The 21,869-nt window shown below is 55.3% G+C and overlaps 1 protein-coding gene across 10 annotated transcripts in view, besides 1 other annotated feature; it reads right to left on the bottom strand.

Moving 5' to 3' along the window:
• Positions 1–21,869, bottom strand: part of PRKAR1B (protein kinase cAMP-dependent type I regulatory subunit beta) — a 179,738-nt gene that overhangs the window by 78,340 nt on the left and 79,529 nt on the right. The window contains exon 1 of one of the 10 annotated variants that reach the window (XM_047420609.1): positions 8,289–8,410. The exons of the other annotated variants lie outside the window; for them this stretch is intronic. The gene's annotated coding sequence lies outside the window, so the exon portion shown is untranslated. Of the gene's footprint in view, positions 1–8,288; positions 8,411–21,869 lie in introns of those variants that run through there. 10 annotated transcript variants of the gene reach the window in all.
• Positions 12,723–12,923: a silencer, noted in NCBI's record as "peak6334 fragment used in MPRA reporter construct". NCBI's record gives its function as "represses an SCP1 promoter by STARR-seq MPRAs in K562 erythroleukemia cells {active_cell/tissue: K562}" and the evidence as "EXISTENCE:reporter gene assay evidence [ECO:0000049][PMID:32103011]".

Genomic DNA, 21,869 nt, shown 5'->3' on the forward strand with positions numbered 1-21,869 from the left:
GGCACTCTACACGGCTGACCCCCCCAATCCATCAGGACTGCAAGGCCAAATATCACACCGTCCGGGGCACCCCAGTACTGAGCTTGACAGCAGAGGGCACTTCCAATTGTCCCTTCCTAAGGAGGGCACCAACACCCCCCAGGGTGGGCAGGGGCTCGGGCGCTCTCCATCCAGAGCCCCCCGCCCAGCTCACGCCCGCCCTCCCCGGGCACTGGGGGAGGAGGTGAGCACCCGCCACTCAGGCTCAGGCAGCCTGGAAGATCCAGGCCACGACTGCCAGCGCTCAACTCCACTCGGCCCTCACTGGTATTTTCCGAGTGCCCGCTATGTACAGGCAGGTCTGTGCTGGGCGCCAGGTTGCCGGGAAATGGGGCACACACAGCCCCTGTCTCATAAAGGCACCAGCAAAACAGGGGTGAACATCGAATGGGTGGGGCCCTTCTGACTGTCACTCACGGAACAAACACAGGCCGAGGCCTCATCACAGGGGGACAGCGGTGGGGGGAGTGGGACTGAAGGCCCCCCGAACTCATCTCCCCAAAGACCATGCGAAAGGGACCTGTACTGCCTCATAACCAGCCATCCACGGCCACGCGGCTTCCTGTGCTCAGCCACATCAGGCACCCCTGGGGCAGCAAACAGGTTTTGCTATTTGCTCAACCAGACTCAGCGATGGGCTCTGCGGGCACCGGATCTGCCTCTGCATCCCACAGGCTGGACCCAGCCTAGAGCTGGAAACCTCATCAGAACCTCTCTGTGCCGAGCAAGTCAAAATCGGGGACGTGGAGCCAAGGCGAAGGCGGGCACGAGGCGGGAGCCGCCAACAGCCAAGGCATGCTTAGGTCAGCAGAGGGCAGGCGGGGTCCCCTCCAGAGGCCTCTCTCCAGACTGGGATGCAGGATCTTTCTTCTCCAAGGATTTCATTCCTGGAGGAAGAAAAGAGCCCCAGCTGTCTGCCATCAAACCGGGTTGCCGGGCTGGAGCTCCTCCCAGGCCCGTGTGAGGAAGAGCAAAGGCCGGCAGGGGCTCGATGGGACCAGTCGCTCGCTCAGGCCCAGGAAAACCACACAGCTGGGGGCTGTCAGGATTGGACCAGGGTCAGGCCGGCCAGGCGATGGCGGGAAAAGCAGGCCCACTCTGCAGACCTCAATGTCTCAGGTGCACTGCAGGGCAACCCCGCCTACCCCGGGTAGAGTTGGCAAAGCCCACGGCCTTGTCCATTTCACCCCCCTGACCATCTCCCTCCCTCGCCTTTTCCAAGAAACCCTCTGAAATTCCTCGCCCACCCCCAAGTCAGGCTCAAGGACCCCCCAAGTCAGGCTCAAGGACCCCCCAAGTCAGGCTCAAGGACCCCTCAGGGTTCGTCGGGGACGGGGTGGAGGTGCCTGCTCTGCAGCCCACGGCGGGCACTCGTGTTCTGACGCCAAGGTGCTTGCAACGTCCTGTGAGCCCGTGCCACTCCGCCACCGCGGGACGCCATTGCTACACCACCTGTGTGTCGGACATTACAGCCGATGGTGACAGAGCCCGCTCCGTGCAGAAGATGAGAAGCCCTGGAGACATTCCCAAGCCTGGCTGCCTTCCTCAGCCATCACCTCCCAGGACAGGGCACGTTTTCCAGAGTGAAAGGCACCGGGCTCATGGCACAGTGACAGGATTCCAGGCAGCTGGTTCCACTGTAGCCCTCAGACCCTGGCTCCAAGCGCGAGGGCTGGAAAATGCTGCAGGAGCGGGGCCACAGCCTCCCAGGGCGCCACCACCCCAGGGCTGGAAAACGCTGCAGGAGCGGGGCCACGGCCTCCGAAGGCACCACCACCCCAAGGCTGGAAAATGCTGCAGAAGCGGGACCACGGCCTCCGAGGGCGCCACCACCCCAAGGCTGGAAAACGCTGCAGGAGCGGGGCCACGGCCTCCGAGGGCGCCACCACCCCAGGGCTGGAAAACGCTGCAGGAGCGGGGCCACGGCCTCCGAAGGCACCACCACCCCAGGGCTGGAAAACGCTGCAGGAGCGGGACCACGGCCTCCCAGGGCGCCACCACCCCAGGGCTGGAAAACGCTGCAGGAGCGGGGCCACGGCCTCCGAAGGCACCACCACCCCAAGGCTGGAAAACGCTGCAGGAGCGGGGCCACGGCCTCCGAGGGCGCCACCACCCCAAGGCTGGAAAACGCTGCAGGAGCGGGGCCACGGCCTCCGAGGGCGCCACCACCCCAGGGCTGGAAAACGCTGCAGGAGCGGGGCCACGGCCTCCGAGGGCGTCACCACCCCAGGGCTGGAAAACGCTGCAGGAGCGGGGCCACGGCCTCCCAGGGCGCCACCACCCCAGGGCTGGAAAACGCTGCAGGAGCAGGGCCACGGCCTCCCAGGGCGCCACCACCCCAGGGCTGGAAAACGCTGCAGGAGCGGGGCCACGGCCTCCCAGGGCGCCACCACCCCAGGGCTGGAAAACGCTGCAGGAGCGGGGCCACGGCCTCCCAGGGCGCCACCACCCCAGGGCTGGAAAACGCTGCAGGAGCGGGACCACGGCCTCCCAGGGCTCTGTGGGCTGCAATACTTGTTTTCTTTCCACGGCTGCTGCTTCAAAGCACAGGCCGGGCCTTGGAAGTGGAGCGCAGTGGAAGAGCCAGGCACACCCCCACCTCCCCCTTCCAGGACCAGGGCACTTGAAAGGTGTGGAGGGGGCTGGGCCAGGCCAGGCGAAGGTGACCGTGGCTCCTAGCAGGTGAGCAGCTGAGATGTACCTGAGGGCTCGGCCAGCCCCATCGGAGAGGCAAACCCCCAGGCAGGTGGTCCTGTTGTCAAAACTGGCCGGCCGGGAGCTGGAAAACAGGCCCAAACTGCGCCTGTGCTGGCAGGTGGCAGGCAGGCAGCGGGCAGCGGTTGGGGTCCTGGCTGGGGGTGCAAGGTCAGCCTGCATCTGAGGCCTGTGGGTACCCAGGGGGTGGCCTATCCCATTGCCCTGGGGGTCCCACGGCTCCCTGTACAAACTCAGATGCACTTGATTTTGTTATTATTGTTTTAATTTGGTCTGAACCTTTGTTCTAAGTGAAGAGACATAGCTTTCCAAAGGCCATACGGGTGAGGCTGGCCCCGGGGGGATCAAATGCCTCCCTCCTGGCCTCACTGCCAGGCTCATGTTAAAGACGCCCAGGGGATGTGCCATAGGCACTGCATCACCAAAGCTGGAGGCTCCCTCAGGACCAGGGAGACAGACAGGGATTGCAAACTCAGCCACCCCCAGGCCCAGTCAGGTGCAGGGATGGGGAGCACACCCCCCCCACCATCTCCAGGGAGCACCATCACCCAGGTGGAGCAGGGCCCACACGTGTGACCTTCCAGCTTTCAGATAAGATGGAAACTCAGAAGCTCCCTGACCATCGCCTGGTTTCAACAGAGGGCTTGCAGCTGATTCGGATTTTTTTTTTTTTTTTTTTAAAGACAGAGTCTTGCTCTGTCACCCAGGCTGGAGTGCAGTGGCACAATCTTGGCTCACTGCAACCTCCACCTCCTGGTTCAAGCGATTTTCCTGCCTCAGCCTCCCGAGTAACTGGGATTACAGGCACCCTCACCAATCCCGGGTAATTTTTGTATTTTTAGTAGAGACAAGGTTTCACCATGTTGGCCAAGCTGGTCTCAAACTCCTGACCTCAAGTGATCCGCCCACCTTGAACTCCCAAAGTGTTGGGATGACAGGCGTGAGCCGCCGTGCCAGCTTGATTCAAACTGGTTTTCAAGAGCAGTTGTTCAAACAGCAAGATGGAAGTTGACAGTGGCCAGGTGTGGACAGCGGCCCACCTCTCGCCATGTCATGCCATAGACCTTACAGATACGGCACCCTCAGGCCCAGACAGGGGTGGTCGCCGGCCCAAAGCCACTCAGCACCTAACCTGGGATGACTCAGGAAGGAAAACAGGCAGAAGCCGGTCACCTTGGCCAGGCCAGTTCCAGGGTCAGCCAGCACCCAGACAGAAGCCAGTCTCACAGCCCAGCACACACAGCCCGAGGGGGAGAAAACACGGCCCCACAAAGGTGCTGCGTGGAAAAGCCGGGGCACGGTGTGCAGGCCCACCACGCAAACCCAGCCCACTGTCCTCCGAGCACACTGGGGATCCTGTGAGACTCCAAAAGAAGGCGGATGCCAGACGCGGTGCCTCATGCCTGTCATCCCCGCACTTTGGGAGTCCGAGGAGAGGTTCGCTTGAGCCCAGGAGTTCCAGACCAGCCTGGCCAACATAGAGAGACCCCCATCTCTAAAAAAAAAAAAATTGGAAATTAGCCAGGCATGATGCCATGCACCTGTAGTCCCAGCTACTCGGGAGGCTGAGGTGGGAGGATTGCTTGAGCCCAGGAGATTGAGGCTGCATAGAGCTGTGATGGCACCACTGCCCTCCAGCCTGAGCGACACAGCAAGACCCTGTCTCAAAAAAAAAAGCAGCGGGAGGAGAGCACCTTGTGTCCCGATCTAGAAAAATCTCCAAGAGAAACCGTAAAGAGAAAAAGGCAACTGGCACAGCTGTGTGTAGCCCCCAGGAAGACCGAGCTCACGTGTGAGCCAGCGTCTCCGTGTGACCCTCCTGCGCACACGCAACAGAGCCTGGGGGGAGCAGGTGCTGGCCAAGGTCTGTTATCTCTCTCTGCCTTGTCTGTGTGAACCCTGTGTCTCTGTTGCCTCATTAAAAATCATTCCTTTTAAACACTGTGAAATTCTGCCAGACGCCCAGCAGCTCGGCCCCTGCAGAAGGGCGCACATCTTCTCAACCTCAAGGGGCGTGGAGACCACCCACCTCGCCGAAGCCGGCACCGGCTTCGCAGAGACCCGGACTCGAGACGAATCCTCCTGCTGCTGTCTCTCCCATCCACTGCCCCCCAACACAGCCCCCCGAGCCGCAGGCTCCACCGGGGGGGTCTTCCCACTGCCCCTGGCTCAGCTCAGGACGGCCACTGCGTCTGAAGACCACCAGTGTCCCCGCTGCCGGGTCATGGCACTGGTACTCCCAGGAGCCATTCTCTTCTGTGGGGATTCCCTTGTTCCGAGCACACTGGGTGGGGCTGCCTTGGTACAGATGGATCCAGGCCTTCAGGACACTGCGGCCCTCATGATGCTGCTGCGTGTCTGCTCTGCAGGGCACAGGGCGAGGCTGAGCTCACTCCGGTTCATCCTCACACAGAAATGCCACGGAGGCTGCACTCTCTACCGGATGTTCCTGAGCCCCCGGCACTGCCAGCCACACGTGATACAAGCTACAGAGCCATCAGGAGGATTCCGTGGGCCACACCCGCAACAGGTCTGGGACTCTACGGGGCTGTGTGCCCAGCCACAGCCTCAAGGAGCCCCCGACGGCCGGCACCCGTCAGCCCTCCTGAGCCTGGGGCCACACAGTGCCTGTCCGGGAAGCAGACACCAGGTCCCGGCCGGCTCCGGCAAGCCTCCACTTTCTCCTCTAAATCACGGGCAGAGGGAAGCCAGGCGCGCGGGTCGTAGTGAGATCAGCTAGATGGAGTCATGTCGTGCCGACGCCATGCGTGTGAATTCATTCTCTGCTCCCACCACTGCTCCGACTCTGGAATACGCTCAGAAACAAACCCTTCACGCTGTCAAAATCCTCCCCCAGATATCGCTATAAACAGCAAAGACGTGATCTCCAGGACATGATGTCAAATGAAAAACACCAAGTGGAGAAAAGTGTGTCTCGTGTGCAAACATCTATCTAACACAGGCAGGAGGGGCCGTGACTCCATGTGCGTATTTGCTTATTTAAACCACACATAGGCAAATCGACACAGAAAATATTAAGATAGTCACCCACAGGTGAAAGGAAGGGGCTCTGTGCACAGGAGACGGGACCCAGGAAGGCGGCAAGACTTCTGTAATATCCCACGACTTGGGAGCCATATTAGTATTTCATGTAATTATACAAACCAAATTCAGATTTAAAAAGTAATACAGGCTGGGCATGGTGGCTTACACCTGTAGTCCCAACATTTTGGGAGGCCGAGGCGGGAGGATCACTTCAGGCCAGGAGTTCAAGACCAGCCGGGGCAATACAGCAAGACCCCATCTCTACAAAAAATTTCAAAATTAGCTGGGTGTGGTGGTGCATGCCTGTGGTCCTGATTTTATTGAGCTCAGACTCTGTGCTTAATAAGGCAGCTGAATGCTGGGACGCAGGTTGGGCCCGCCTGGCCTCCCAGGTTCCTGAGGTGATTTAAAGGAGCTGCCCACCTTGGAAAAAGTCGGGGAGGGGAGCAGCGAGGACACAGCTCCTGTTCACGGCCTTCCCAGCAAAAGTAAGGAGGCTGTGTGTAATCACGGGAAACAGGCAGACCCAAGACCTTGTAAACCACCTGCCTGGGCTCCTCAGGGATTTGGACCAGGCACAGTGGCTCACACCTGTAATCGCAGCACTTTGGGAGACTGAGGCAGGGGAACTGCTTGAGCCCAGGAGTTTGGGCAACATAATGAGACCCCATCTGTACAAGAAAAAATAAATAAATTTTGTTTTTTTAAAGGGAGTCTAGTTCTGCCTCCCAGGCTGCAGTGCAATGGTGTGATCTCAGCTCACTGCAACCTCTGCCTCCCAGGTTCACGCCATTCTCCTGCCTCAGCCTCCCCAGTAGCTAGGATTACAGGCGCCTGCCACCATGCCCGGCTAATTTTTGTATTTTTAGTAGAGACGGGGTTTCAAATGTGTTGGCCAGGCTGGTCTCGAACTCCTGACCTTGTGATCCGCCCGCCTCAGCCTCCCAAAGTGCTGGGATTACAGGCGTGAGCCACTGCACCCGGCCCAAAAAAAAACATTTTTCAACTTAGCCAGGTGCAGTGGCTCAGCTACTCGGGAGGCTAAGGCGGGAGGATCACTTGAGCCCAGCAGGTTGGGGATGCAGTGAGCTGTGATCTCATGACTGCACTCCAGCCTGGGCAACAGAGCAAGACCCTGTCTCCAAAAAAAAAGAACTGGGACAGAGTTTGAATTTGGGTGGGGGTCAGCTCAGCTCAGGGTGCTGCGTGCAGGGTGAGCGCTGTGCCTGTGATGATTTTCCTGCTTGTTCTTAGGAGACACCCAGTGAAGCATTTAAGGCGTGGGGTCCTGGTGTCTGCAACTTACTGTTTTTTTTTTTTTTAAGGTGGAGTCTCGCTCTTTCACCCAGGCTAGAGTGCAATGGAGCGATCTTGGCTCACTGCAACCCCTGCCTTCAGGGTTCCAGTGATTCCCCTGCCTCAGCCTCCCGAGTAGCTGGGATTACAGGCACCCGCCACCATGTCTGGCTAATTTTTGTGTTTTTAGTAGAGTCGGGGTTTCACCACGTTGGCCAGGCTGGTTTCGAACTCCTGACCTCAAGCGATCCGCCCACCTCAGCCTCCCAAAGTGCTGGGATCACAGGTGTGAGCCACCGCACCCAGCCTGCAACTTACTCTCAAATGATCCAAATAATAAAAAGAGTAAAAATAACAGTATGCGAATGTAGAACACAGAACTGATGAAGCAAATGCAGCACAAATACGTCCCAAAATGCTGAGTGGCAAAGGGTACACAGGGCTTCATGATACTCTCCTTGCAACGTTTCTGTGTGAACTATTTTCAAGGTAAAATTTAAAACAATAAATAAAATTAGGAGATTTCACCAAAAAACCGGACTTCCAGCTTCTCTGGAAAAATCAAGATCTGACACCCTGGGACCCACATTCCACAGGCTGGAAACCAGCTGAGCAGGGGTCCCTGTGGGCCCCAAGGCCCAGCCCTCCCCTGGCAGCTTCCACATCTCAGGACCAGACTGGCCCTGAATGTTCCGGATCTGGGCCAGATGTCATGTTCGCGCCCAGGCAGACTGTGGCATCGCTGCTCTGAAAACAGGGGTCAGAGCAGCAGGCCTGGGCCACAGAGCCTCAGAAGGATCGGAGTGGACGGCAACCTGCCTGCACCCCCCTGGGGCTCAGGGAGCGTCCCCAACACTGACTCCACAGTCCTCTCCTGGCAGACGCACAGCTGGGACCCGAGGGCCCCTTGGCAGCCCTAGGCCTCTCCCCAGGGCACTGGAACCCAGGCCTGGAGCCCGGAAGGCTCGGGACTCCTCCGCTGCCTCCCAGGCCCTCCCAGACTATCCTGTGAACAGCTTAGGAAAAAGGGCTTCTCCCTCCATGATGGCTGCAGGACGGTCTTTGAGCAGGGGAGAGAAGGCACAGCGAGGGAGACGGGGAAGCCTCAGGTTTTCTGGAGCTCAGTGCAAAGGTAAGGAGGTGAATGAGCTTTGGAGGCAGGAGTTGGTCCAAATCACAGCTCCGACACTTACTAGCTGGATGATTTCAGCAGGCCACTTAATCGCCAGGCCTCAGTTTCCCCATCTGTGAAACAGAGCTACGGACAGCAGGTTCACGAAGCATTGTAAAAGTACCAGCACCGCGCCCACACATCCTCCACCGGCCGCGCCCTCACGTCCTCCACCGGCCGCGCCCTCACGTCCTCCACCGGCCGCGCCCTCACGTCCTCCACCGGCCGCGCCCACACGTCCTCCACCGGCCGCGCCCACACGTCCTCCACCGGCCGCGCCCTCACGTCCTCCACCGGCCGCGCCCTCACGTCCTCCACCGGCCGCGCCCACACGTCCTCCACCGGCCGCGCCCTCACGTCCTCCACCGGCCGCGCCCACACGTCCTCCACCGGCCGCGCCCTCACGTCCTCCACCGGCCGCGCCCACACGTCCTCCACCGGCCGCGCCCTCACGTCCTCCACCGGCCGCGCCCTCACGTCCTCCACCGGCCGCGCCCTCACGTCCTCCACCGGCCGCGCCCACACGTCCTCCACCGGCCGCGCCCACACGTCCTCCACCGGCCGCGCCCACACGTCCTCCACCGGCCGCGCCCTCACGTCCTCCACCGGCCGCGCCCACACGTCCTCCACCGGCCGCGCCCTCACGTCCTCCACCGGACTGTGCCCACTGTGCCCACCGGATGCTGGGGCTCCTTCACCAGGGGTGGGGGGTTTCCTGCCAGCCCTGCCAATGAGGGCTGGTCCTGGGGCCCCTCCTGCCCCACCCAGAATGGTCCTTTCTGACAGCCAATGCTCTGCCTCTCTCAACTGCTGGAACACAGTGACCCCAGGTGGCCAGCACCTCCCCAGCCCGTGGCCACTGTGAGGACAGCAGCTCAGACAGAAGCATTTCCACCCTCACAGAGGCTGTGCTGTAGAAGCCTGCTGGGGAGGGGGCCGGCGGGACCTGACGGGTCGGGTCCATCTCTCTGTCTCTGCACCTGCACGCCCCTCCCTCCTGGGTGAGGAATGGGTATCACACGCCAAACTCCCTGCTATCAAGAGCAGCTCCCAGGTGTCTGCAACTTCCTCAACAACTGTGACCCCGCAAACCACGGCGAGTGGGAAAGAACGGCCGTGAGGGAAGGGGCCAGGTGCTGAAGGTGGGGGGTGGGGAGTGCCGGGACAGGCCAAGCTCCAGGACCAGTCAGAAACCTTGAAGGAGGTGAGGTGTGGTGGTTCACACCTAATCCCAGCACTTTGGGAGGCTAAGGCGGGTGGACGGTTTGAGCTCAGGACTTTGAGACCAGCCTGGGCCACACCGCGAAACCCCATCTCTACAAAAACATACAAAAATTAGCCGGGCGTGGTGGTGCACACCTGTAGTCCCGGCTCCTCGGGAGGCTGAGGTGGGAGGATCGCTTGAGCTTCGGAGGCAGAGGTCTAGCCTACATGGTGAAATCCCGTCTCTAACTAAAAATACAAAAATTAGCTGGGCATGGTGGCGCACCTGTAATCCCAGCTACTTGGGAGGCTGAGGCGGGAGAATCGCTTGAACCAGGGAGGTGGAGATTGCAATGAGCCGAGATTGCGCCACTGCACTCCAGCCTGGGTGAAGGAGTAAGACTCTGTCTCAAAAAAACAAACAAACAAATCATGTTTATTAAAATGCTTTATACAGTCTTTAAACCTAAGGAAAAAATAAAATGTTCATTTCCTGATATTTGTAAATCTTCAGTGCACCTTTAAAAGAATCAAGAGCAAATAATGGGCCGGGTGCGGTGGCTCACGCCTGTGATCCCAGCACTTTGGGAGGCCGAGGTGGGTGGATCACCTGAGGTCAGGAGATCGAGACCAGCCTGGCCAACATAGTGAAACTCCGTCTCTACTAAAAATACAAAAAATTAGCCGGGTGTGGTGGCAGGTGCCTGTAATCCCAGCTACTGAGGAGGCTGAGGCAGCAGAATCGCTTGAACCTGAGGTGGAGGTTGCAGTGAGCCGAGATCGCACCACTGCACTCCAGCCTGGGGGACAAGAGAGAGACTCCATCTAAAAAAATAAATAAATAAATAAATAACAGGGAAGATGGGGGCTAAAACAGGCAGCACAGAGCTTGTGTTGGACAATGAGAACCCTGCATGGGGGGCAGCTCCGTGTGGACGCCCAGATTGTCTTCTGCAGCCTCTGAAGTGCATGACATAGAGGAGTGTGTCCTCTTCCTATGGTGCCCCGTGTTCTCATCCTGCCCCGCCGGCGGAGAAGACGCGGGGCAGGACCCTGTGCCCACCTAGCTGGCAAGCACCAGCGTTGTCTGTGTGCCTGGCCCAGGCCCGCGTGGGCACCCAGCAGGCACTTAATAAACACCTTGGAATGAGCCTGGGACTGAAAGCCTAAAATATCTTTAGAAACCCCTGTGAGCTCCTCGACTTGGCACATTTTAATTTGAATTTCAGCCCCATGCCCGGATAAACAGGGCAACGAATGTTTAGCTGTGGAATTGCTTTTCCCCTAAACAGGTCCCGGAGGCATCCTACTGAAGTTGGTGGTGAACACACCTCACATAATTAAAAACCAGTCTGGAGAGCTCCCCCAGCTCCCTTCACTGGGGCTGACAGATCGTCCCCCGGGGGCCTCGGGACAGGTGAAGTCGGCTCAGCAACTCCTCTGTGCACTCAGCCACCTGCCTCTCCCCGAGGGTCTCTCCTAGACACATCACGGGGCACAGGGCTCTCTCCTCGCCAGGCTCAGACATTCTTGCCTACTGGCGACCCTTCCTCAATGCCAGCCAGCCCTGCTAAGAACATTGTCTTCCTCGTAATGACATTGAAAGGAATGAAATGCAGGGGAAACATTTACGAGAAGACGGGCAGGACTTCGAAATACTGCTGAGAAGTTAAAGATCTAAATACAATCTTTATTGAGAAGATTCAATATTGACAAGATGACACCAAACTGATCTATCAATTCAACACACACTCTTACAACTGCTAAGCTGACCCTAAAATTCACATGCGGCCGGGCGCGGGGGCTCACGCCTGTAGTCCCAGCACTTTGGGAGGCTGAAGCGGGCGGATCACTTGAGGTCAGGAGTTCGAGACCATCCTGGCCAACATGGTGAAACCCCCGTCTCTATTACAAATACAAAAATTATCCAGATGTGGTGGTGGGCACCTGTAATCCCAGCTACTCGGGAGACTGAGGTAGGAGAATCGCTTGAGCCTGGGAGGTGAAGGTTGTGTTGAGCCAAAATCGCGCCACTGTACTCCAGCCTGGGTGACAGAGCGAGACTCTGTCTCAAAAAGATAAATAAAAATTTTAAAAAATGAAATTCATACAGAAATGTAAGGGCACTTGGAAATAGCCGAGACAGTTTTGAAAAGGAACGGAGTAGGGGGACTTTGACTACCTGATCTGAAAACCTACTACAAAACCACTGTAATCAAGACGGTGGTGGTATTAGTAAAACGGATTTGTACTGAGAGGCCAGAAATCCACCCTTACATTTGTGGTCAACTGATTTCCAACCAGGGTGCCAAGGCAAGTCAATGGGGAAAGAAAGAGTGCTTTCAACAAATCGTGCTGGGACAACTGGATACCCACTAAGAACAATGAACTTGGACACTTACTCACTCCTCACACAGAAAGTAACTCAAAATGGATGACAGTCCTAAATGTAAGAGCTGAAACTATAAAAGAAGACAAAATCAGAGAAAATCTTCATTAATGTGGGTGAAGCAAAGAGATTTTAGATGTAACCGCAAAAGCATAATTGAAAAAAGATAAAACTGCCAGGCATACTGGCTCACGCCTGTAATCCCAGCACTTTGAGAGGCCAAGGCGGGAGGATGGCTTGAGGCCAGGAGCTCTCAGCCTGCCTGGGCAACAGAGTGGGACCCCATCTCTACAAAAAAATTAAAAAATTAATTAGCCTGGCATGGTGGTGCAAGCATGTAGTCCCAGCTATTCAGGAGGCTGAGGCAGAGAACTGCTCGAGCCCAGGAATTCGAGGCTGCGGTGAGCCATGATCATCGCGCCACTGCACTCCAGCCTGGGCAACAGAGCAAGAATCCATCCTTAAAAAGAAAAAAAGAAAGAAAAACTGGCCGGGTGCAGTGGCTCACACCTGTAATCCCAGCACTTTGGGAGGTCAAGGTGGGCGGATCACAAGGTCAGGAGTTTGAGACCAGCCTGGCCAACATGGTGAAACCCCATCTCTACTAAAAATAAAAAAGTTAGCCAGGCGTGGTGGCATGCGCCTGTAGTCCCAGCTACTCAGGAGGCTGAGGAAGGAGAATCACTTAAACCCGGGAGGCGCAGGTTGCAGTGAGCCGAGATCGTACTATTGCACTCCAGCCTGGGCAACAGAGCGAGACTCCGTCTCGAAAAAAAAAAAAAAGATAAATTGAACTTCATCAAAATAAAAATTTTTGCACTTCAAAAAACACCATTAAGAAAATGAAGACAGCAAACCACAGACTGGGGAAAATATCTGTAAACCCTGTGTCTGGTAAAGGACTTGTATCCAGAACATATAAAGAACACTTACAACTCCATAATAAGACCAAGAACTCAATCTTAAAATAGACATACGATTCGGACAGACATTTTACCAAAGAAGTTAAACGACTGGCTAAGAAACACCTGAAAAGCTGTTCAACCCCATTAGTCATTCAGGAAATGTGAATCAAAACCACAAAGAGGCTGGGCGCGGTGGCTCACGCCTGTAATCCCAGCACTTCGGGAGGCCGAGGCGGGTGGACCACCTGAGGTCAGGAGTTCGAGACCAACCTGGCTAACATGGTGAAACCCCATCTCTACTAAAAATACAAAAATTAGCCGGGTGTGGTGGCAGCTGCCTGTAATCCCAGCTACTCGAGAGGCTGAGGCAGGGGAATCACCTGAACCCAGAAGGTGGAGGTTGCAGTGAGCAGAGATCCCACCATTGCACTCCAGCCTGGGCAACAAGAGCAAAACTCTGTCTCAAACACACACACACACACACACACACACACACACACACACACACAGACACAAATGAAATACCACTTTGCATCCACTAGAATGACTACAATAAAAGACAGACAATACCAAATGCCAGCAAGGATGTGGAGAAATGAGAACCCTCATACGTTGCTGGTGGAAATGCAAAATGGTGCAGCCACTTTGGAAAAGAGACAATTCTTTTTTTTTTGTTTTGAGTCTCACTCTGTCGCCCAGGCTGGAGTGCAGTGGTGCCATCTGGCTCCCTGCAAGCTCCGCCTCCCGGGTTCACGCCATTCTCCTGCCTCTGCCTTCCGAGTAGCTGGGACTACAGGTGCCCGCCACCACGCCCGGCTAATTTTTTGTATTTTTAGTAGAGACGGCGTTTCACCGTGTTGGCCAGGATGGTCTCCATCTCCCGACCTCATGATCCGCCCGCCTCGGCCTCCCAAAGTTCTGGGATTACAGGCGTGAGCCACCGCGCCCGGCCGGAAAAGAGAATTCTTTAAAGGCCGGGAAAAGACCCAGCAATTCCACTCCTAGGAATCTACTCCAGAGAAGTGAAAACGTACGTTCACACAGACACGCATAAGGCTGTTCACGCCGTATTGTTCATAATAGCTCCAAACAGAAAACAACACAAATGATGCCGCATTGTTCATAATAGCTCCGAACAGCAAACAACCCAGATGACGCCGTATTGTTCATAATAGCTCCAAAGCGAAAACAACCCAAATGGTGCCGTATTGTTCATAATAGCTCCAAACTGAAAACAACCCAGATGACGCCGTATTGTTCATAATAGCTCCAAACTGACAACAACCCACAGGTCCATGGCAGGGAGCGGGCGGTGATCAAATTACAGTAGATCCATACAATGGGATATTGTCAAGAAAGTACATAAATGTGCTAAAATATGGATGAACCTCAAAAAACACCCTGAGTGAAAGAAGCCAGACACAAAAGACCACGTATTGAACGACTCTATTTATGTGTTTATTTACTTATTATCACTGTGTTATTTTTAGTCACGTATTGAATGACTCCATTTATTTATGTATTTATTTACTTTTATTATCACTATTTTTTATTTATTTTTAGAGTCACATATTGAATGACTCCATTTATTTATGTATGTATTTACTTTTGTCACTTTTTTTGAGACAGGGTCTCACTCTGTCACCCAGATTAGGGCACAGTGGCACAATCCAGCTCACTGCAGCCTCAACCTCCCGGGTTCAAGGGATCCGCCCTCCTCCCTCCTCCCCAAGTGGCTGGGACTCCAGGCACGCACCACCACACCCAGCTATTTTTTGTAGAGATCGGGTCTTGCTATGTTGGCTAGGCTGGTCTTGAACTCCTGAGCTCAAGCGATCCACCCACCTCAGCCTCCCAAAATGTTAGGATGACAGGCATGAGCCACCGCACCCACCCGACTCCGTTTATTTCAAATGTCCAGAAAATGCAGGCAGATTCATGGTGGACGGGGGTGGAAGTGAGGATTAACCATAAACAGGCACAAGGGAACTTTCTGGGATGATGGAAACGCTCTAAAATTGGATCATGATGATGGTGGCATAATTCTGTAAATTCGTTCAAAGTCACTGAATAGGCTACTTACAGTGGGTGAATTTTATCATATATGAATTCTACCTCTGTAAAGCTGTTTAAGAAACAAACTCGGCCGGGCGCGGTGGCTCACGCCTGTAATCCCAGCACTTTGGGGGGCCGAGGCGGGCGGATCACGAGGTCAGGAGATCGAGACCATCCCGGCTAAAACGGTGAAACCCCGTCTCTACTAAAAATACAAAAAATTAGCCGGGCGTAGTGGCGGGCGCCTGTAGTCCCAGCTACTTGGGAGGCTGAGGCAGGAGAATGGCGTGAACCCGGGAGGCGGAGCTTGCAGTGAGCCAGTGAGCCGAGATCCCGCCACTGCACTCCAGCCTGGGCGACAGAGCGAGACTCCGTCTCAAAAAAAAAAAAAAAAAGAAAGAAACAAACTCTGCCCCCTGCCGCAAGACCCCAGTCAACCCCATTTCCTAAAAACTAGCTGGTTTATCAGGCAGCACACTCGGTTCACCACAGCAGGGCGTGGAGGGGGCAGTGAGACCGTGGGTCGCAGTCATCTGTCCTGGGTTCAAATCCCCGTCCCGCCACCTTGTCTTGAGCAGTGATTTTGCCACTCTGAGCCTCAGTTTCCCCTTCTGTAAAGGATGGATGGTGCTAACCCCGCACTTCACTGGGATGTGGAGTAGTACCTGGAATTCTGTGTACGGCAGAGCCTGGCACATAGCCGGTATTCCATCAAGTGCTGAGCACATTGGCCGTTGGTATGAATGCTATAATTACCTTGAAAATAATCAGACTCTGCCATTGCAAAAGAGAAAGACAACAGTCTTTAATTTTAAACTTCCTGATACTATATTCAGTCACTCTTTCATGCCATCTTCAAACTGCATTGGCATGACAATTTACATTTACAATTTTGGATGAGAAATACCGCAAGATTTACTCACACCTTCCACCTCCCAGGACACACTTTAAAACCATGAGCTTAGGCAGCGCGAGGCACGGGGAATCCCTAAAGGAATAAGACCTGGACCCTGCGTCCTTCAGGGAGGAAAGCGTGAGAACAACTGGACGATCCTTCGCAGCTCACTCATAAAAAGTCATAGCTTTGGACAGGCACAGTGGCTCATGCCTGTAATCCCAGCACTTTGGGAGGCCGAGGCAGGCAGATCACCAGAGGTTGGGAGTTCGAGACCAGTCTGACCAACATGAAGAAACCCAGTCTCTAATAAAAATACAAAATTAGCTGGGCATGGTGGCGCAGGCCTGTAATCCCAGCTACTCGGGAGGCTGAGGCAGGAGAATCACTTGAACTGGGGAGGTGGAGGTTGCAGTGAGCCAAGATTGCGCCACTGCACTCCAGCCTGGGCGACAGAGCGAGACTCCATCTTGAAAAAAAAAAAAGTCGCAGCTTCCTGGAATACCAGCTATTAAAGCCCAGAGCTGCCAGGCAGGAGGTCTGTCAGCTGAGGCGGCCATGTTGTGAGGGAGCTCAAGCCCCCGTGAGGCCTTACACAGATGCACAGGGTTCAGGGTGCCCAGTGGCACCTCCATATTATCCAACCCCCAGCCACTCCCGTCGCCCCAAGTCACACCAGCCTTTCCAGCTGAGGTCCCAGACATCGCGGGGCAGGGACAAGCCATCCACACTGTGCCATTCGAATTCCCACCCACAAACCCGTGAGCATGATGAAATGCCGGCTGCCCAGTGCTACGAAGCTAGGGGCGGCTGCTACACGGCCCACTACACTAAGCCCTAAGTCTTCATCTTGCAGACAAACAGAGGTGCTAAGTCACGGGCCACATGCACCCCCTCCTGTGCCCTCACCTACACAGGCAGGCAGCACAGGGCACCGACAGGCGGGATGTTCAACCTGCGTCAGGATGAACCCTCATATTATAGAATGACTCCCCTGTTCAAGGCATCGTTGAAATGTCCGTGATGCTCTTAAAATCCTGCTGGAATCACTCACTCCCGGCTCCTGCTCCACCCCACACTGTGAGGAGCTGGAGGTACACAATGAGGTGGGGAAACTGAGGCGCGCACATTCGGAACGGGGTTTTGCTCCTCCTTGGGTGTGCAGAGGCTGAGGGGGGTCTCCACGGGAAGCCCTCTCTGCCTGCAGGCTCTTGCATCAGGAGGGAAGCCCCACTCGGACGCCATCCCGGGGTCCAGCATCCCTCCGAGGGCCCACCCTCCACTCCCCGCTGCCAGGGAGCCCTCCCAGCACTGAGGGGGCACCAGTCTGGCCATGCGAGTGCCCACAACTGGAAGGAAGCAATGCAGGGCCGTTCTCAGCCTCAGCAGCTGAGCGTCCACCCCCAGGCCTCCGGACAGGGAGACTTTCAACCCACCAGGGCCTGGGTGGCTGGACCACAGCCCAGCAAAGGGCAAACCCCAGCTCTCCCTCCCAGAGGGCAGGCACCAGGGCCAGACCCTTCCCCCAGACACCTCCCATAGCCTTCCAGGGAAGCGGGCCCCAAAGAGGCTGGACCGGGCAGTGCCGTCGGCCAAAGGGTCCCGTGTGCTGCAGAGCTGAGTCCTGGGCCTGCTCAGAGGCCGCCCAGGCCACCCCGTCTCACGATGGGGAGATGTGAGACCCTGAAAAGGTGACCCAAGACAAGCCTCTTCTCCGCAATGAGCCGTCTCTTCAGCCTCTATAAATAAGGCGCAGTGTGGACGAGTGAGGGCAAAGGGCCCCGTGATTCACTGCAGATCCCTGATTTAGAAATCCGGAAGAGAAATCTGGCAGGGATGCCTCCTCCACCACATCCTCCCCTCACACCCCTCGCGGAGGCCAGAGAGGGCAGCACCCACCCAAGGTCACTCGGCAGGCAGCAGGCACAGCATGAGAACCCGGCCTGCAGCACCCAAGTCCGGTCCTCTCCCTCCTACAGAAAGGAGCAGAGAGAGCCGAAGACGCGGCAGGAGGGATCCAGGTACAGGCGAGACCCAGGTGTTTCTGAGCCAGGCTGCAATGCTTCTAAGATCTCACCTATGCAGATTTCTTAGAAGAAAGATCAATCTCACTCAGTCTACTTGGGCGCAGTGGCTCAAGCCTGTAATCCCAGCACTTTGGGAGGCCGAGGCAGGAGGATTGCTTGAGCCCAGGGGTTCAAGACCAGCCCAAGCAACATAGCAAGACCCTGTCTCTACTAAAAATAAAAATAATTAGCCGGGTGTGATGGCGAGCCCCTGTGGTCCCAGCTACTCAGGAGGCTAAGATGGGAGGATCACTCAAGCCTGGGAGGTCAAGACTCAAAGCCAGTCCCACAGCCGTCACGGACAGGCTGTTTCTCTGAAGCTGTTCAGGGAATAAAGTCTGGGAGGGCCTGGGAGGCAGTGAGACGAGTTCCAAGCCCTCCAGCCTCCAGGCCTGTGTTCCAGTGCCCTGGGGAGAGGCCTGGGGCTCCCAGGGGACCCTGGGATCCCGGATGTGCGTCTACTGGGAGGGGACCGTGAGGTCAGCATGCGGGGGTGCTCCCTGAGCCCCAGGGAGTACAGGCAGGTTGCCGTCCACTCGCCAGTCAGACCCCTCTGGGGCTCTGTGGCCCAGCCCCGATCTGGTCCCTGTTTTCAGAGCAGTGATGCCAGGGTACCCGGAAAGGGCAGGAGCTGACAGCAAAGTCCAAGTGTGCACCTGACCCCACGAGGCCCACAGCTGAGATTCCGGCTCCTTCGTCACCAACATGTTGCTCAGTAACCCCAACTGCACGCTATTTTTTTTTTTAAGAGGCAGAGTCTTGCTCTGCCTCCCAGGTTGAAGTGCAGTGGTGCAATCATAGCTCACTGAAACCTCAACCTCCTGGGCTCAAGCAATCCTCCTACCTCGGCCTCCCAAGTAGCTGGGACCACAGGTGCACCACCATGCTCAGCTGATTTTTGAATCTACTGTAGAGACAGGGTCTTCCTATGTTCCCCAGGCTGGTCTCAAACTCCTGGATTCAAGCGATCCTCCCGCCTTGGTCTCCCAAAGTGCTGGGATTACAGGCGTGAGCCACCGCGCCTGGCCTGAGTGCTACGTTTTAAGAGAACAATTTCAGTGATTCTAGAAGGACGGTGCATAAATTCTAAACCTGGGGAAATCCAAATTCATGAACTTTTCTGCTTCTGCAATTCCAAGTGCCAAGCAGCTCGATGGTGGGGCAGGAAGACACAGAAAATGGTTCCTCCTTCTTCTTGGCCCCGAGCTAATGACAGCTCTGGAGTAACTGAAAGAAGAGCGGAGCTCGTTTCCTAATGGGGCTGCGTGCAGAATCATGGCTATTTCCACACAATTAAACCTTGTTTCCCATAAAAACATCACTTAGAAATGGCTTCACGCTTCTCCCTCTGAACCCCTGAACTCACAATGAGATGCATGAAATCACACGATGATGAAATGGCTCAGAGTGCTCAGCATCCTACGACGGGGCCGCTACTGCACAGGTAATTAAGACTAAGCCATGTTAACCAAACTAAATTAAAACCAAGATTTAAATGCTTAAATTGGCCATCCGCCCGATCATAACAGGAAGAGGGTCCAAATCCAAAAAGGCCATTAGCTGAGCTCACACCCGGCAGGATCACAGGCGAAGGGCCCTGGGCTGAGGGCGGCAGCGGTACACCTGGCAGGGAGCCGGGGGCCCTGGCAGGGGTGACACTGCCCCCCACTCCTGGCCCAGGCTGCTCAGCTTCCACAAAAGTGAAACACCAAAGGGGCCACCCAGAGGTGGGGAAGAAAGGGGCATGGGACGCAACATGGCCGGCCAGAGCCACACAGCCGACCACCTGTCCCCTCTCTCCCACGTCCTACAGGGCGCCCAAACTCTTGTGGCCAAAACCAGCCTGCCTGCCCACCTCCTCCGGGGTTGGGGGCACCAGCAACCCCCAACCTGCGGATCAGCCTTCCTCACTCCCGTTCTCACCCTCCCATGTCAGGTCCTCAGCAAAACCCGTTGGTCTAACCAAGGGCCATCACCCAGTCTGTCCACTGTCCCGTCTCCAGCCCACCCAAGCCAGCATCACCTGTGGCTGGGACAACTCTCCTGGCCTCTCCTGCTGCCCCGTAGCCTCCTCGTCCTCTCCCATCCATGCCCCCTCTATGATCCCAACACCCCCCAGCAGCTCCCACTCCGTCCGGTCTTTAATCCCATAACCATGAATAACCACCCATTTGCTATCCAAAGAGTTTTCTTAAAACACGTACCTCCAGGCCAGGCGCGGTGGCTCATGCCTGTAATCCCAGCACTTTGGGGGGCCGAGACAAGTGGATCACAAGGTCAGGAGATCGAGACCATCCTGGCTAACACAGTGAAACCCCGTCTCTACTAAAAATACAAAAAATTAGCCGGGCGAGGTGGCAGGCGCCTGTAGTCCCAGCTACTCAGGAGGCTGAGGCAGGAGAATGGCATGAACCTGGGGGGGCAGAGCCTGCAGTGAGCCGAGATCGCACCACTGCACTCCAGCCTGGGCAACAACGAGACTTCGTCTCCAAAAAAAAAAAAAAAAAAAAAAAAAACCTCCTCGCATGTTGTTTTTCAGTTAGCACCTAAAATGCTTCATTATGGCCGGGCATGGTGGCTCACACCTGTAATCCGGTGCTTTGAGACGCTGCTTGAGGCCAGAAGTTTGCGACCAGCTCGAGCAACACATCAAGACCCCAGCTCTACAAAAAATTTAAAAATTAGCCGGGTGTGGTGGTGCGCACCTGTGGTCCCAGGTACTTGGGAGGCTGAGGTGGGAGGATTGCTTGAGGCTGGGAGGTTGAGGCTGCAGTGAGCTATGATCACACCACTGAACTCCAGCCTGGGCCACATATCGAGACTCTACCTCCAAAATTAAAAAAAAAAAAATCTTAAACTACGTACCTCTTCACTTGTTTTTAAGTTAGCATCTATAATGTTTCATTACAAGTTTAGGTAGTTGCAAAAAGGAGTAATTTCTGGCCTATTGTGAAAGTTGGTATTTTAACTGCCCTTCTCTCTTTTAAACATAGCCAATGAAATATAAACCCATAGGCAGGGCATGGTGGCTCACGTCTGTCATCCCAGCACTGTGGGAGGCTGAGGCAGGCAGATCACCTGAGGTCAGGAGTTTGAGACCAGCCTGGCCAACATGGCAAAACTCCATCTCTACAAAAATACAAAAATTAGCTGGGCATGGTGGTGCGTGCCCGTAATCCCAGCTAGTCAGGAGGCTGAGGCGGGAGAATCACTTGAACCCAGGAGGCGGAGGTTGCAGTGAGCCGAGATCACGCCACCGCACTCCAGCCTGGACAACAGAGTGAGACTCCGTCTCAAAAAAACAAACAAACAAAAAAATTAGCCAGGCGTGGTGGCAGTGCCTGTAATCCCAGCTACTCAGGAAGCTGAGGCAGAAGAGTCACTTGAACCCAGAAGGCAGAGGTTGCAGTGAGCTAAGACTGCACCATTGCACTCCAGCCTGGGTGACAAGAGTAAGACTCCATCTGAAAAAATAAATAAATAAATAAATGAAATATAAACCCATAGGGATTGGACACTCACCAAAACAAGATATCACGGAGAAAATTTAAGAACTTTTAACATTTGGCCAGGCACGGTGGCTCACACCTGTAATCCCAGCACTTTGGGAGGCCGAGGCAGGTGGATCGCCTGAGGTCAGGGGTTCAAGGCCAGCCTAGCCAACCTGGTAAAACCTGGTCTCTGCTAAAAATACAAAAATTAGCCTGGCATGGTGGCGGGTACCTGTAATCTCAGCTACTCGGGAGGCTGAGGCAGGAGCATCATTTGAATCTGGGAGGTGGAGGTTGCAGTGAGCTGAGATCGTGCCACTGCACTCCAGCCTGGGTGACAGAGTGAGACTCCGTCTCAAAATAAATAAATAAATAAAAATTTAAAAGCTTTTAACATTTAGAATGTTTCCACTGCTCCTTTTCTCCTCGAATGAGTATTTCTAGCCCATTTCCCACAGAATTTATCCCAATGTAAAAATGTTTTAATTTAAAACGTATCTTAATATTTTTTGATCTCCCTATCATGCTTCCTTGTAAAAGACGCGTTGAATGTTTGGAATTATTTTCCCTGTGAACACAAGGTTATAAGCATCATATTT

Source organism: Homo sapiens, chromosome 7 (assembly GCF_000001405.40).
Source record: "Homo sapiens chromosome 7, GRCh38.p14 Primary Assembly".
Classification (NCBI taxonomy): Eukaryota; Metazoa; Chordata; class Mammalia; order Primates; family Hominidae; genus Homo; species Homo sapiens.